Source organism: Homo sapiens, chromosome 6, assembly GCF_000001405.40.
Source record: "Homo sapiens chromosome 6, GRCh38.p14 Primary Assembly".
Taxonomy (NCBI): domain Eukaryota; kingdom Metazoa; phylum Chordata; class Mammalia; order Primates; family Hominidae; genus Homo; species Homo sapiens.
In genome coordinates, this window is record NC_000006.12 from 16,881,055 (window position 1) to 16,895,635 (window position 14,581).

Here is a 14,581-nt window from a genome sequence, read left to right on the forward strand (position 1 = left end):
CACTTTTGAGTAACATTATGCTGATTCACACGTAGAGCATACCTCATAATAAGAAAACATTCCCAATTCCTCCCTCCCATTTCTTGTGTCATTTCTGTCATTCATTTCACTCATACATAAGCTATAACCATCAAATACATTGCTGCTAATATTATTTTGCACAAACTTTCATCTGTTAGATCAATTAAAAATAAGCAAAATAAAAGCTTCTATTTTATCTTCACTTATTTCTTTTCCAGCGCTCTTCTTTTCTTTATGTAGATTCAAGTCTCTAACTTATACCATTTTCCTTCTCTCTGAAGGACTTTTTTTTTTTTAACATTTCTTTCAAGGCAGTTCTACTGGCAACACATTCCCTCAAATTTGTTTGTCTGAGAGTCTTTTTTTCTCCTTTACTTGTGAAGGATCATTTTGCAGGATACATATTTCTAGGTTTGTGGATTTTTTTTTCTCTCGATACTTTAAATATTTCACTCCACTCTCTTCTTGCTTGCGTAATTTCTGAGGCTCCATAAGATTTAATTCTCATATTTGCTATACTGTAGGTAGGGTGTCCCTACCCTCCCCTGGGCATCTTTCAAGATTCTTTTTTTCTCTTTGATTCTCTGAAGTTTAAAAACAACATGCCTAGACGCAGTATTTTGGGCATTTGTCCTGAGCATTATGGATCTGCAGTTTGGCATCTGACATTAACTTGGGGAAAATTATCAGTCATGATTACTTCAATTATTTCTTCTGTTCCTTTTTCTCTTTGTTTTCCTTCTGATAGTTCCATTATGTTACACCTTTGGTAGTTGTATCACAGTTCTTGAATATTCTGTTCTTTTCTTTAATCAGTCTTTTTCGTTTTTGCTTTTCAGTTTTGGAAGTTTTTACCGACATATCCTCAAGATCAGAGAGTCTTTCTTCAGGTGTTCCAAATCTAATAAAACGTCTACTTTCATTTCTGTTTCAGTATTTTTGACCTCTAGCATTAAAAAAAAAATTCTTTCTTAGAATTTCCATCTCTCTACTTATAGTACTCATCAGTTCTTACATGTTGTCTACTTTTTCCATAAGAGGCTTTAGCAATATTAATCATAGTTGTTATTAATTCCCAGTCTGATAATTCCAACATCCCTTCCATATCTGACTCTGGTTCTAATGCTTGCTCTGTCTCATAAACCAAGTTTTTTGCCTTTTAGTATGCCTTGTAATTTTTGTTCCAAGTTGAACATGATGTATGAGCTAAAAGGAACCTTCGTAAATAGGTCTTCAATGATGTGGTGGTAAGTTGTAGGGGCTGAGGGAATAGGAAGTGTTCTAGAGTCCTGTGATTTAGTCTCAGACCTTTGATGAACCTATGCTGGTGGGCTGTGAATTTCACAAGTGCTTTTCAGTTTCCTCCACCCCTCCTTCTTCTGAGATGGGACAGGAGGTCAACAGTGGGTATTTCCTTTCCCCCACATGGATAGTTTGAGAGGGCTGGAGTTCAGTTTCCCCTTCCCCCAGGTCTTTTGGGTTCTAACAAAATCCTAGCAGATTAGACTCTGGTAAAATAGTTTCTCTTGATGGCAGGTCTTGTTAAGAACAGAATTCTCTGATGTATTTCAAAATGATGGTTTTATCCTCCCCCTATAAGGGGATTTTTCTCCAATATTCACTGTGAGAACCTGGGAGAGCTCCTGAGGGTAAAACTCACAAAAGTGTCAGGGCCACCTTATGACAAGGCTCCCCAGAGGAGTTGTGATTTTTTGTTTGTTTGTTTTGAGACAGAGTTTCACTCTTGTTGCCCATGCCAGAGTGCAATGGTGCAATCTCAGCTCACTGCAACCTCCACCTCCCAAGTTCAAGCGATTCTCCTGCCTCAGCCTCCCGAGTAGCTGGGATTACAGGCATGCGCCACCACAACCAGTTAATTTCATATTTTTAGTAGAGATGGGGCTTCCCCGTGTTGGTCAGGCTGGTCTTGAACTGCCAACCTCAGGTGATCTGCTTGCCTTGGCCTCCCAAAGTGCTGGGATTATAGGTGTGAGCCACCGTGCCCAGACTTTTTTGTTTTTTAACTATCAGACTTGTCCACACAGAGCCTCTAGCAATTGTTTGGGTTTTCCTACCCCATTACTGGCTTCTGTGGAGGTTTCTGATTGTGAGCTTCTGCTCCAGTAAGTTTGGATTCCCTGCATCCACTTGTCTTTCTCTCCTGTTTTGAGGACAGTAGTTTTCCCTGGGACCTCACTGCTCTGACAGATCTAAGAAGAGTTGTTGATTTTTTTCAGTTTGTTCAGCTTTTTACTTGTTTATAACAGAGTGATGACTTTAAAGCTCCTTTCATGCTGGGCCAGAAATCAGAAGTCCTGATGAGTGTTTTTTATGGTCAAAAAGTGTTGGATTTTGTCAAATTTTTTTCTGAAATGGTTGAGATAATCATGTAGTTTGGGTTTGTTATTCTTTTAGTATGGTACATTACATTAATTGATTTTTTGGATATGAAAACAAACCTTTCACTCCTGGGATAAATTCTTCTTTGTGGTTGTGTATAACTCTTTTTATATGTTACTGTGTTTGTTTTGCTAGTGTTTGGTTGAGGATTTTTTAGTCCATAGTCATAAGAAATTCTGGTCTGTAGTTTTTTTTCTTTTTTCATTGTGATGTCTTTGTCTGGCTTCAGTATCAGGGTAATATTGCCCTCATAGAATGAGTTGGGAAGTGTTCCTTCCTCTTACTTTTTGGAGGTGTTAATAAAAAATTGGTATTAATTCTTCTTTAAATATTCATAGAATGCACCAGTGAAGACATCTGGGTCTGGACTTTTCTTTGTGGATATTGTTTTGATTACAAATTCAGATCACTTTCCCTGTTTTAAGTCTATTCAGATTATCTATTTCTTCTTGAGTCAGTTTTGATAGTGTATTTCTAGGAATTTGTCCATTTTATCTAAATTATAAAATGTATTATGGTACAATTTGTTTATAGTAATCCTTTCTCATCTTTTTTTTTATTTTTCATAATGTTGGTGGTAATGCCCACTCTTTCAATTCAGATTCTGTCTTCTCTCATTCTTTTTTGGTCAGTCTAACTACATACTTGTCAATTCTGTTTGTGCTGTCAAATATCCAGATTTTGCTTCATTGATTTTCTCTATAGTTTTTATGTTCCTGTTTCATCAGTTTCTGCTCTATTTGCTCTTATCTTCTCCCTTCTGCTTGCTTTAGGTTTTGTTTGTTCTTTTCTTCTTTTTCTACTGTCTTAAGGTGGAAGGTTAGGTTACTCACTTGAGATATTTCTTTATTTTTAATATAGGCATGTACCACTGCCAGCATTGCTTTAGCACTGCAATGCTGGCAGTGGTACATGCCTATATTAAAGTGATATATGTCTACATTAAAATGGTATATGCCTAAGTTTTGGTATGTTGTGTCTTCATTTTCATTTGTCTAAAGGTATTTTCTTTCTTTTCTTTTTCATAGGAGAAAAGGCCTACACATTTATTTAAAATGTACACAAGGCAGCCTTCAGAGTAAGGACCAAACCCCTAACGAGGTACAGAAGCTTATATACCACCTTGAGGTTATAGAAATGACACAGTCTCAGAGCATGGGCAAAAACAGATTATGTTGGTAAATCTGGTTTTATTGGCAAGACAAGTTATAAGAGGGACAAAGGAAGAGGCTTGGCTAGCATAGGGGGTCTTGTTATGTAGATGAAGCCTCAGAGGCAGTAGCCCTTAGAGATAATAGATGGCAAATGTTTCTTTTCAGACTTTTAAAGGTGTCAGACTCTCAATCTCTCCTAGATTCTGGAAAGGCCTGGAAAAGGAAGACCTGGATGCATTAATGGAGATTCTCTACAGAAGCAAGTTTCTCCTCAAAAGCCAGCTTTGCTGGGCTATTTCAATTGGCTGGCCCTGTGGCAACTATTTAAAAATATGTCAAAAAATATATTTTGAGGTAAAATATTTTGATTTCCTTCAGTCCTCACTTTGAAACTTGAAAAAAGTTTCATATATTAAAAGCCAGCCTGTTAGCTTTGGAGAGATTTGGCTTAGAGGTTATTAGATAGAGACAGACAAAGAAGTGGAAAGACAAATTGGGATAGACAGAAAAGAAGACGTTAAAATATATCATCCTGTATCTTCTTTAGTCAGTCTCTTAGCCCTGAGAAGAGAGCAGTTCAATTAAACAGCTATGTGTCACTCCAGGATGTAGCATTGCCGTTGGGCTAGGACTCTATATATGATGCAAGAAAACACATCTCCTATAGGGATTCTCTAATTTACCTTTTGATTTCTTCTTTCACCTTTAGGTCATTTAGGAATGTGTTTTTGATTTTCCATATATTTGGGAATGTTCAGTTTGCCTTCGGTTATTGAATTCTAGTTTCATTCCATTGCAGTTGAAGTAGATACTTTGTATATTTCAAGATTTTTAAATTGTTGAGACTTATGTAAATCAAAACTAAAATTCTAACCCCCATACAACTAAATGGACCCCTCTTCCAGGGCAAGGGCATTCCAAAGTTAACCTGAAAAACTAGTTTAGGTCATGATGGAAAGAAGGAGTCAAACATGACTTGTTATGTCCTCTGCTTGTTGGAATGCAGGCACAGCTGACCAGCATTAACGTTAAAACAGACTGACAAAACAAACTCTCTATAGCAATGAGATACCAACATGACAGATAGCAGGCCCTAAAAGAAATCAAAGTATTTTACCCCAAAATATGTTTCTGAGACATATTTTGAAGTGGCCTTGCAAAGCTGTCTCTTGTGGGGAAAATCTACATCCTATAGAGAATCTCCCTCCCTTTCCGGGTCTTTTTCCTGATCCAAGAGAGAATTAACTAACTAAGAGTCTGGCATCTTCTTAAGTCTGGTAAGAAACATTTACAGTCTTTTCTCTCTGAATCCTGCTTCCTGGAGGCCTCATTTGCATAATAAGAACCTTGGTCTCTGTCAGGCCTCTGAGCCCAAGCTAAGCCATCATATCCCCTGTGACCTGCACGTACACATCCAGACGGCCAGTTCCTGCCTTAACTGATGACATTCCACCACAAAAGAAGTGAAAATGGCCTGTTTCTGCCTTAACTGATGACACTGTCTTGTGAAATTCCTTCTCCTGGCTCATCCTGGCTCAAAAGCTCCCCCACTGAGTACCTTGTGACCCCCACTCCTGCCCACCACAGAACAACTCCCCTTTTTCCTTTACCTACCCAAATCCTATAAAACGGCCCCACCCCCATCTCCCTTCACTGACTCTTTTCGGACTCAGCCCGCCTGCACCCAAGTGAAATAAGCAGCCATGTTGCTCACACAAAGCCTGTTTGGTGGTCTCTTCACAAGGACGCGCATGAAATTTGGTGCCGTGACTCGGATCGGGGGACCTCCCTTGGGAGATCAATCCCCTGTCCTCCTGTTCTTTGCTCCATGAGAAAGATCCACCTACGACCTCAGGTCCTCAGACCAACCAGCCCAAGGAACGAACATCTCGCCAATTTTAAATCAGGTAAGCGGCCTCTTCTTACTCTCTTCTCCAACCTCTCTCACTGTCCCTCAATCACTTTCTCCTTTCCACTCTTCAATCTCTCCCTTCTCTTAATTTCAATTCCTTTTATTTTCTGGTAGAGACAAAGGAGACACATTTTATCCATGGACCGAAAACTCTGGCGCCGGTCACAGACTAGGGAAGGCAGCCTTCCCTTGGTGTTTAATCATTGCAGGGACACCTCTCTGATTATTCACCCAGGTTTCAGAGGTGTCAGACCATGCAGGGATGCCTGCCTTGGTCCTTCACCCTTAGCGGCAAGTCTCGCTTTTCTGGGAAAGGGGCAAGTACCCCAACCCCTTCTCTCCATGTCTCTACCCCTTCTCCACCTTTCTGGGGGACAAGAAACCCCCAACCCCTTCTCCTTCACCCTGAGCGGCAAGTCCCACTTTTCTAGAGGAGGGGCAAGTACCCCAACCTCGTATCTCTGTGCCCCGATCCCTTATTTCCATGCCCAGACCTCTTATATCTCTGCGCCCCAATCCCTTATTTCCGTGCCCCAACCGCTTATATCTCTGTGCCCCGATCCCTTATTTCCGCGCCCCAACCCCTTCTCTGCTTTTCTGGAGGGCAAGAACCCCCCACCCCTTCTCCGTGTCTCTACTCTTTTCTCTGGGCTTGCCTCCTTCACTATGGGCAAGCTTCCACCTTCCATTCCTCCTTCTTCTCCCTTAGCCTGTGTTCTTAAGAACTTAAAACCTCTTCAACTCTCACCTGACCTAAAATCTAAGCATCTTATTTTCTTCTGCAATGCTGCTTCACCCCAATACAAACTCGACAGTAGTTCCAAATAGCCGGAAAACGGCACTTTCAATTTTTCCATCCTACAAGATCTAAATAATTCTTGACGTAAAATGGGCAAATGGTCTGAGCTGCCTGACGTCCAGGCATTCTTTTACACATTGGTCCCTCTCTAGTCTCTGTTCCCAATGCAACTCATCCCAAATCTTCCTTCTTTCCCTCCCACCTGTCCCCTCAGTCTCAACCCCAAGCGTTGCTGAGTCTTTCTAATCTTCCTTTTCTACAGACCCATCTGACCTCTCCCCTCCTCCCCAGGCTGCTCCTCGCCAGGCCGAGCTAGGTCCCAATTCTTCCTCAGCCTCCGCTCCTCCACCCTATAATCCTTTTATCACCTCCCATCCTCACACCCGGTCCAGCTTACAGTTTCATTCCGTGACTAGCCCTCCGCCACCTGCCCAGCAATTTACTCTTAAAAAGGTGGCTGGAGCTAAAGGCATAGTCAAGGTTAATGCTCCTTTTTCTTTATCCCAAATCGGATAGCGTTTAGGCTCTTTTTCATCAAATATAAAAATCCAGCCCAGTTCATGACTCGTTTGGCAGCAACCCTGAGACACTTTACAGCCCTAGACCCTAAAAGGTCAAAAGCCGTCTTATTCTCAAAATACATTTTATTACCCAATCTGCTCTCAACATTAACTAAAACTCCAAAAATTAAATTCCAGCCCTCAAACCCCACAACAGGATTTAATTAACCTCGCCTTCAAGGTGTGCAATAATAGAAAAAAGTTGTAATTCCTTGCCTCCACTGTGAGACAAACCCCAGCCACATCTCCAGCACACAAGAACTTCCAAACGCCTGAACCGCAGTGGCCAGGTGTTCCTCCAGAACCTCCTCCTCCAGGAGCTTGCTACAAGTGCCAGAAATCTGGCCACCAGGCCAAGGAATGCCTGCAGCCCAGGATTCCTCCTAAGCCAAGTCCCATCTGTGCGGGACCCCACTGGAAATCGGACTGTTCAACTCACCTGGCAGCCACTCCCAGAGCCCCTGGAACTCTTGCCCAAGGCTGACTCCTTCCCAGACCTTCTTGGCTTAGCGGCTGAAGACTGATGCTGCCCGATTGCCTCAGAAGCCCCCTAGACCATCAGAGACGCTGAGCTTCGGGTAACTCTCACAGTGGAGGGTAAGTCTGTCCCCTTCTTAATCAATACGGAGGCTACCCACTCCACATTACCTTCTTTTCAAGGGCCTGTTTCCCTTGCCTCCATAACTGTTGTGGGTATTGACGGCCAGGCTTCTAAACCTCTTAAAACTCCCCAACTCTAGTGCCAACTTAGACAATACTCTTTTAACCACTCCTTTTAGTTACCCCCACCTGCCCAGTTCCCTTATTAGGCCGAGACACTTTAACTAAATTATCTGCTTCCCTGACTATTCCTGGATTACAGCTGCATCTCATTGCTGCCCTTCTTCCCAATCCAAAGCCTCCTTTGCGTCCTCCTCTTGTATCCCCCACCTTAACCCACAAGTATAAGATACCTCTACTCCCTCCTTGGTGACCAATCATACACCTCTTACCATCTCATTAAAACCTAATCACCCTTACCCTGCTCAATGCCAATATCCCATCCCACAACATATTTTGAAAGGATTAAAGCCTGTTATCACTCACCTGCTACAGCATGGCCTTTTAAAGCCTATAAACTCTCCTTATCATTCTCCCATTTTACCTGTCTTAAAACCAGACAAGCCTTACAAGTTAGTTCAGGATCTATGCCTTATCAACCAAATTGTTTTGCCTATCCCCCCCATGGTGCCAAACCCATATACTCTCCTATCCTCAATACCTCCTTCCACAATCCATTATTCTGTTCTGGATCTCAAACATGCTTTCTTTACTATCTTTGCACCCGTCATCCTAGCCTCTCTTCGCTTTCACTTGGACTGACTCTGACACCCATTAGGCTCAGCAAATTACCTGGGCTGTACTGCCGCAAGCCTTCACAGACAGCCCCCATTACTTCAGTCAAGCCCAAATTTCATCCTCATCTGTTACCTATCTTGGCATAATTCTCATAAAAACACACATGCTTTCCCTGTTGATTGTGTCCGATTAATCTCCCAAACTTCAATCCCTTACAAAACAACAACTCCTTTCCTTCCTAGGCGTGGTTAGTGTGGTCAGAATTCTTACACAAGAGCCAGGACCGCACCCTGTAGCCTTTCTGTGCAAACAACTTGACCTTACTGTTTTAGCCTAGCCATCATGTCTCTGTGCAGTGGCTGCTGCTGCCCTAATACTTTTAGAGGCCCTCAAAATCACAAACTATGCTCAACTTACTCTCTACATTTCTCATAACTTCCAAAATCTATTTTCTTCCTCATACCTGATGCATATACTTTCTGCTCCCCGGCTCCTTCAGCTGCACTCCCTCTTTGTTAAGTCCCACAATAACCATTGCTCCTGGCCCGGACTTCAATCCGGCCTGCCACATTATTCCTGATACCACACCTGACCCCCATGACTGTATCTCTCTGATCCACCTGACATTCACCCCATTTCCCCGTATTTCCTTCTTTCCTGTTCCTCACCATGATCACGCTTGATTTATTGATGGCAGTTCCACCAGGCCTAATCGCCACACACCAGCAAAGGCAGGCTATGCTATAGTACAAGCCACTAGCCCGCCTCTTAGAACCTCTCATTTCCTTTCCATCGTGGAAATCTATCCTCAAGGAAATAACTTCTCAGTGTTCCATCTGCTATTCTACTACCCCTCAGGGATTATTCAGGCCCCCTCCCTTCCCCACACATCAAGCTCGAGGATTTGCCCCCACCCAGGACTGGCAAATTAGCTTTACTCAACATGCCCCGAGTCAGGTAACTAAAATACCTCTTAGTCTAGGTAGACACTTTCACTGGATAGGGAGAGGCCTTTCCTACAGGGTCTGAGAAGGCCACCGCAGTCATTTCGTCCCTGCTGTCAGACATAATTCCTCAGTTTAGCCTTCCCACCTCTATACAGTCTGATAACGGACCAGCCTTTATTAGTCAAATCAGCCAAGCAGCTTTTCAGGCTCTTAGTATTTAGTGAAACCTTTATATCCCTTACGGTCCTCAGTCTTCAGGAAAAGTAGAACGGACTAAAGGTCTTTTAAAAACACACCTCACCAAGCTCAGCCACCAACTTAAAAAGGACTGGACAATACTTTTACCACTTTCGCTTCTCAGAATTCAGGCCTGTCCTTGGAATGCTACAAGGTACAGCCCATTTGAGCTCCTGTATAGACGCTCCTTTTTATTAGGCCCCAGTCTCATTCCAGACACCAGACCAACTTAGACTGTGCCCCCAGAAAAACTTGTCATCCCTACTATCTTCTGTCTAGTCATACTCCTATTCACCGTTCTCAACTACTCATACATGCCCTGCTCTTGTTTACACTGCCGGTTTACACTGTTTCTCCAAGCCATCACAGCTGATATCTCCTGGTGCTATCCCCAAACTGCCACTCTTAACTCTTGAAGTAAATAAATAATCTTTGCTGGCAGGACTATGCTGAATCTCCTTAGGCACTCTCTAATCAGATGTCCTGAGTCGTCCCAATTCTTAGACCTTTTAAACCTGTTTTTCTCCTTCTCTTATTCCATTTAGTTTTTCAATTCATACAAAACTGTATCCAGGCCATCACCAATAATTCTAAATTACAAATGTTCCTTCTAACAACCTCACAATATCACCCCTTACCACAAAATCTTCCTTCAGCTTAATCTCTCCCACTCTAAGTTCCCAAACCACCCCCAATCCCGCTCGAAGCAGCCCTGAGAAACATCGCCCATTTATCTCCCCATACCATCCCCCAAAATTTTCACCGTCCCAACACTTTACCACTATTTCATTTTGTTTTTCTTATTAATACAAGAAGACAGGAATGTCAGGCCTCTGGGCCCAAGCTAAGCCATCATATCCCCTGTGACCTGCACGTACACATCCAGATGGCCGGTTCCTGCCTTAACTGATAACATTCCACCACAAAAGAAGTGAAAATGGCCTGTTCCTGCCGTAACTGATGACACTGTCTTGTGAAATTCCTTCTCCTGGCTCATCCTGGCTCAAAAGCTCCCCCACTGAGTACCTTGTGACCCCCACTCCTGCCCACCACAGAACAACCCCCCTTTTTCCTTTACCTACCCAAATCCTATAAAACGGCCCCACCCCTATCTCCCTTCGCTGACTCTCTTTTCGGACTCAGCCCGCCTGCACCCAGGTGAAATAAACAGCCATGTTGCTCACACAAAGCCTGTTTGGTGGTCTCTTCACACGGACGCACATGAAAGTCTCCACAACCCCTTATCTTAACCCAGACACCCCCTTCTGTTGATTCCAGGTCTTTAGAGAAACTCTTTCAACCAATTGCCAATCTGAAAATCTTTTGAATCTACCTACGACCTGGAAGCCTCACTTTTAGTTGTCCTGTCTTTCTGGACTGAATCAATGTACATCTTACACATATTGATTGATGCCTTATTTCTCCTCAAAATGTATAAATCCAACCCGTAGCTGACCACCTTGGGCACATGCTCTCAGGACCTTGTGGGGCTGTGTCATAGCTCATTGGTTACTCATATTTGGCTCAGAATAAATCTCTTCAAATATCTTACAATGTTTGATTCTTTTTGTTGGCACTTGTTTTGTAACCTAAGATATGGTCTATACTGTGGAATGTTCTATATGCACTTGAGATAAATGTGTATTCTGCTGTTCTTGTGTGGAGGACTCTGACTAAGTCTGTTAGGTCTAGTTGGTTATGGTGTTGTTCAAGTGTTTTATCTCCTTATTGATCTTCTCCGTAGTTTTATTCATTATTGAAAGTGGAGTATTGATGTTTCTACCTATTACTGTAGAATCGTATATTTCTCCCTTTAATTCTCTATTAGCTTGATATATATTGGAGCTCTGGTATGAGGTACAAATATGTTTATAATTATGACATCTTCATGATGGATTGACCCGTTTACCAATGTATAATATTCTTTTGTCTCCTGCAACATATCTGACTTAAAGTCTATTTTGTCTGACATTAGTATAGCCAGCTCAGCTCTCTTTTGGTTATTATTTACGTAGAATATCTTTTTATAGCCCCTACTTTCAATCTGTTTGTATCTTTGGATTTAAAGTGTATTTCCCATAAATTGCATGTAGCAAATCTGGTAATTTTTATTCAGTTTAATAATCTCTGCCTTTGAATTGAATTGTTTACTTCATTCCCATTAGATATTATCTTTCCTTTTACTTTTTATTTTCTATATTTTGCATATCTTTTTTGTTTCTCTATTCCTCTTTTACTGCTTTCTTTTGTATTGAGTATTTTCTAATGTAACATTTTAATTCTCTAATGATTGTTTTCACTATACTTTTTGAGTTATTTCCTTGGGGTTGCTCTAGGGCTTACATATACATCTTAACTTATCAGAATCAGCTTCAGATTTATACTAACTTAATTCCAGTGAGATATAGAAATATCACTCTTACATAGCTCTATTCCCTTTCCCCACTTTTTATGGTATTATTATTAAACATATTACATCTATAAATGTTATAAGCCAAGCAATACATTGTTATAATGATTACTTTATATAGTTTTATGTCTTTTAAAGAAACTAAGCTAATAAAAGACAGCAATTATATAGTTATAGCTTTTTTAATATTAGCCCTCTTATTTATCATTTCTGATTCTCTTCATTTGTTCTTGTGGAGTCAAGCTACCATCTGGAGTCATTTCCTTAGCCCAGTACAGCTTTGCTCCCACCCACATTCTTGTTGCTGTTATTGGCAAAGATATTACATTTCTATATGTTTTGAGACCAACAATACATTATATGCACATTGTGTTACACAATTGCTTTTAAAATCAGTAGAGAGAAGAAAGGAGAAGAAATTTGCATTTATAGTCTTTTTATAGTTACATAATTACCTTTACCAGTGTTCTTTGTTTTTTTTGTGTGGATTCATATTACTATCTGGGGTCACTTGCTTTCAGCCTGAAGAAATTTCTTTAGTGTTTTTTCCTTTGGTATTAAATAAATACTATAATTCCTTTAGTAGTCTCAGCATTTGTTTATCTGGGAATTTATTCCACGTTCATTTTTGAAAGAGAGCTTTGCTGGATATAGGATACTTGGTTGATTATATTTTTCTTTGGGCACTTTGAATATATTATGTCCCTACCTTCTGGTCTCCATTGTTTCTGAAAAGAAATCAGCTATTAATCTTATTGGAGTTCTCTTGTGAATGACAAGTCATTTTTCTCTTGCTGCTTTCAAGATTTTCTCCTTGTCTTTGGCTTTTAGAAGTTTTACTATAATGTGTCTCTTTGTAGTTCCATTTGAATTTATTCTATTTAGATCATCAAGCTTCCTGGGTGTATAAATTAATATTTTTCAATAAATTGGGGGTATTTAAGGCCATTATTTCTTCAGATTTTTTCTTCTCTTTCTTCCCCCAACCATAGTCTTATTATATGTATGCTGGTGTACTTCATGGTATCCCACCTTTCCTGAAGGTTCTGTTCATTTTTCTTCAATTTTTCCCTCTCCGTGCTATCACTCTATCTTCAAGTTTGCGACTTCCTCCTTTTGAGAGTTCAAATCTACTATTGAGCCCCCCTAGTGAATTTTTCATCTCAGTATAGTTGACACTTGAATGACATATGTGAACTTTTAAAAATAAATATTTTGGAAATTTTTTTGGAAATTTATGACAATTTCAAAAAACTCACAAATGAATCATATAGCCTAGAAATATAAAACAAAATATTTTAAATTAGGTATGTCATGAATGCATAAAATATATATAGATGTCATTCTATTTTATCATTTAGTACCATAAAATATACACAAATCTGTTATAAAAAGTTAAAATTTATCAAAACTTACACACACAAACACTTACAGACTCTACACGATGCCATTCACAGTCAAGAGAAATGTAAACAAATGTAAAGGGGGCAGTATTAAATCCCAACTGCATAAAATTTACTGTGGTATGTACTTTACTACTGTAATAATTCCATAGCCACCTCCTGTTTCTATTACATGAGCTCAAGTGTTGTGAGAATATGCTGAAAACAACATGTGATACTAATCATCTTCCTGTGAGCAGTTCTTCTCTCTAATAAATTGCATATTGCAGTAAAAAATGATCTCTCAAGATTCTTATGTATTTTTCACTATGCTTAGTGTAATATTGTAAACCTTGAATAACACCATGGGACCCATGCAAAGTCATGCCAGAAATGTTCCCAAGAAGCAAAGAAAAGTCATGACATTCCTAGAAAAAATTGAATTGTTTAACATATACCATAGATTGAGGTCTGCAACTGTGATTGCCTGCCATTTCAAGATAAATAAATCTAGCATGAACATTGTAGAAAAAGAAAAGGAAGGCCGGGCTAGGTGGCTCATGCTTGTAATCCTAGAACTTTGAGAGGTCAAGGCAGGTGGATCACCTGAGGTCAAGAGTTCGAGACTATCCTGGCCAACATGGTGAAACCCCATCTCTACTAAAAATACAAAAATTGGCCTGGTGTGGTGGCACGCACCTATAATCCCAGCTACTTGGGAGGCTGAGGCAGGAGAATTGCTTGAACTGGGAGGCAGAGGTTGCAGTGAGCCGAGATTGCACCACTGCACTCCAGGCTTGGTGACAGAGTGAGAGTTTGTCTCAAAAAAAAAAAAGAAAAGAAAAGAAAATTCATGAAGCCATCATTGCAGCTATACCAGCAAGTGTGAAGACCTTGCACTTTTTGCAAAATACCTTTTTACATCATATAGAAAATGCAGCTTTTATGCGGGTGTAGAATTGCTAAAGGAAAGGCATACTTATAACCTCTCATATGATGTGAGAAAAAGCAAAGTCATTATATGACAACCGAAAGCAAAAAGATGTTGAAGGATCTAATGCTGGAGAATTTAATGCCAGCAAAGGATGGTTTGATAATTTTAGAGAAAAGTTTGTCTTTGAAAATGTCAAGATAACAGGAGAAGCATTTTCTGCCAACCCAGAGACAGCAGTGAGTTCCCAGATGCCACTAAGAAAATCGTTGATAAGAAAAGATATCTGCTAAAAAGGTTTTTAATGCAGATGAAAGTGCCCTATTCTAGAAAAAAGAAAATGCCCCCAATGGCATTTATTAGTAAGAAAGAGAAGTGAGCATCAGGATTTAAGGCAGGAAGGGATGGGCTAACTCTACTCTTTTGTGCAAATGCAGTTGGGTTTATGATCAGGACTCTTTTGGGGGATCAAAAGTTATATGCAAATTTA

At 40.4% G+C, this 14,581-nt stretch overlaps 2 annotated features.

Annotated features, from left to right (window-relative positions):
* Positions 9,150-9,350: a silencer, noted in NCBI's record as "peak5695 fragment used in MPRA reporter construct". NCBI's record gives its function as "represses an SCP1 promoter by STARR-seq MPRAs in K562 erythroleukemia cells {active_cell/tissue: K562}" and the evidence as "EXISTENCE:reporter gene assay evidence [ECO:0000049][PMID:32103011]".
* Positions 10,032-10,599: an enhancer, noted in NCBI's record as "OCT4-NANOG hESC enhancer chr6:16891317-16891884 (GRCh37/hg19 assembly coordinates)". NCBI's record gives its function as "activates a minimal SCP1, AML or CMV promoter by ChIP-STARR-seq in naive H9 embryonic stem cells {active_cell/tissue: H9 hESC(naive)}" and the evidence as "EXISTENCE:reporter gene assay evidence [ECO:0000049][PMID:30033119]".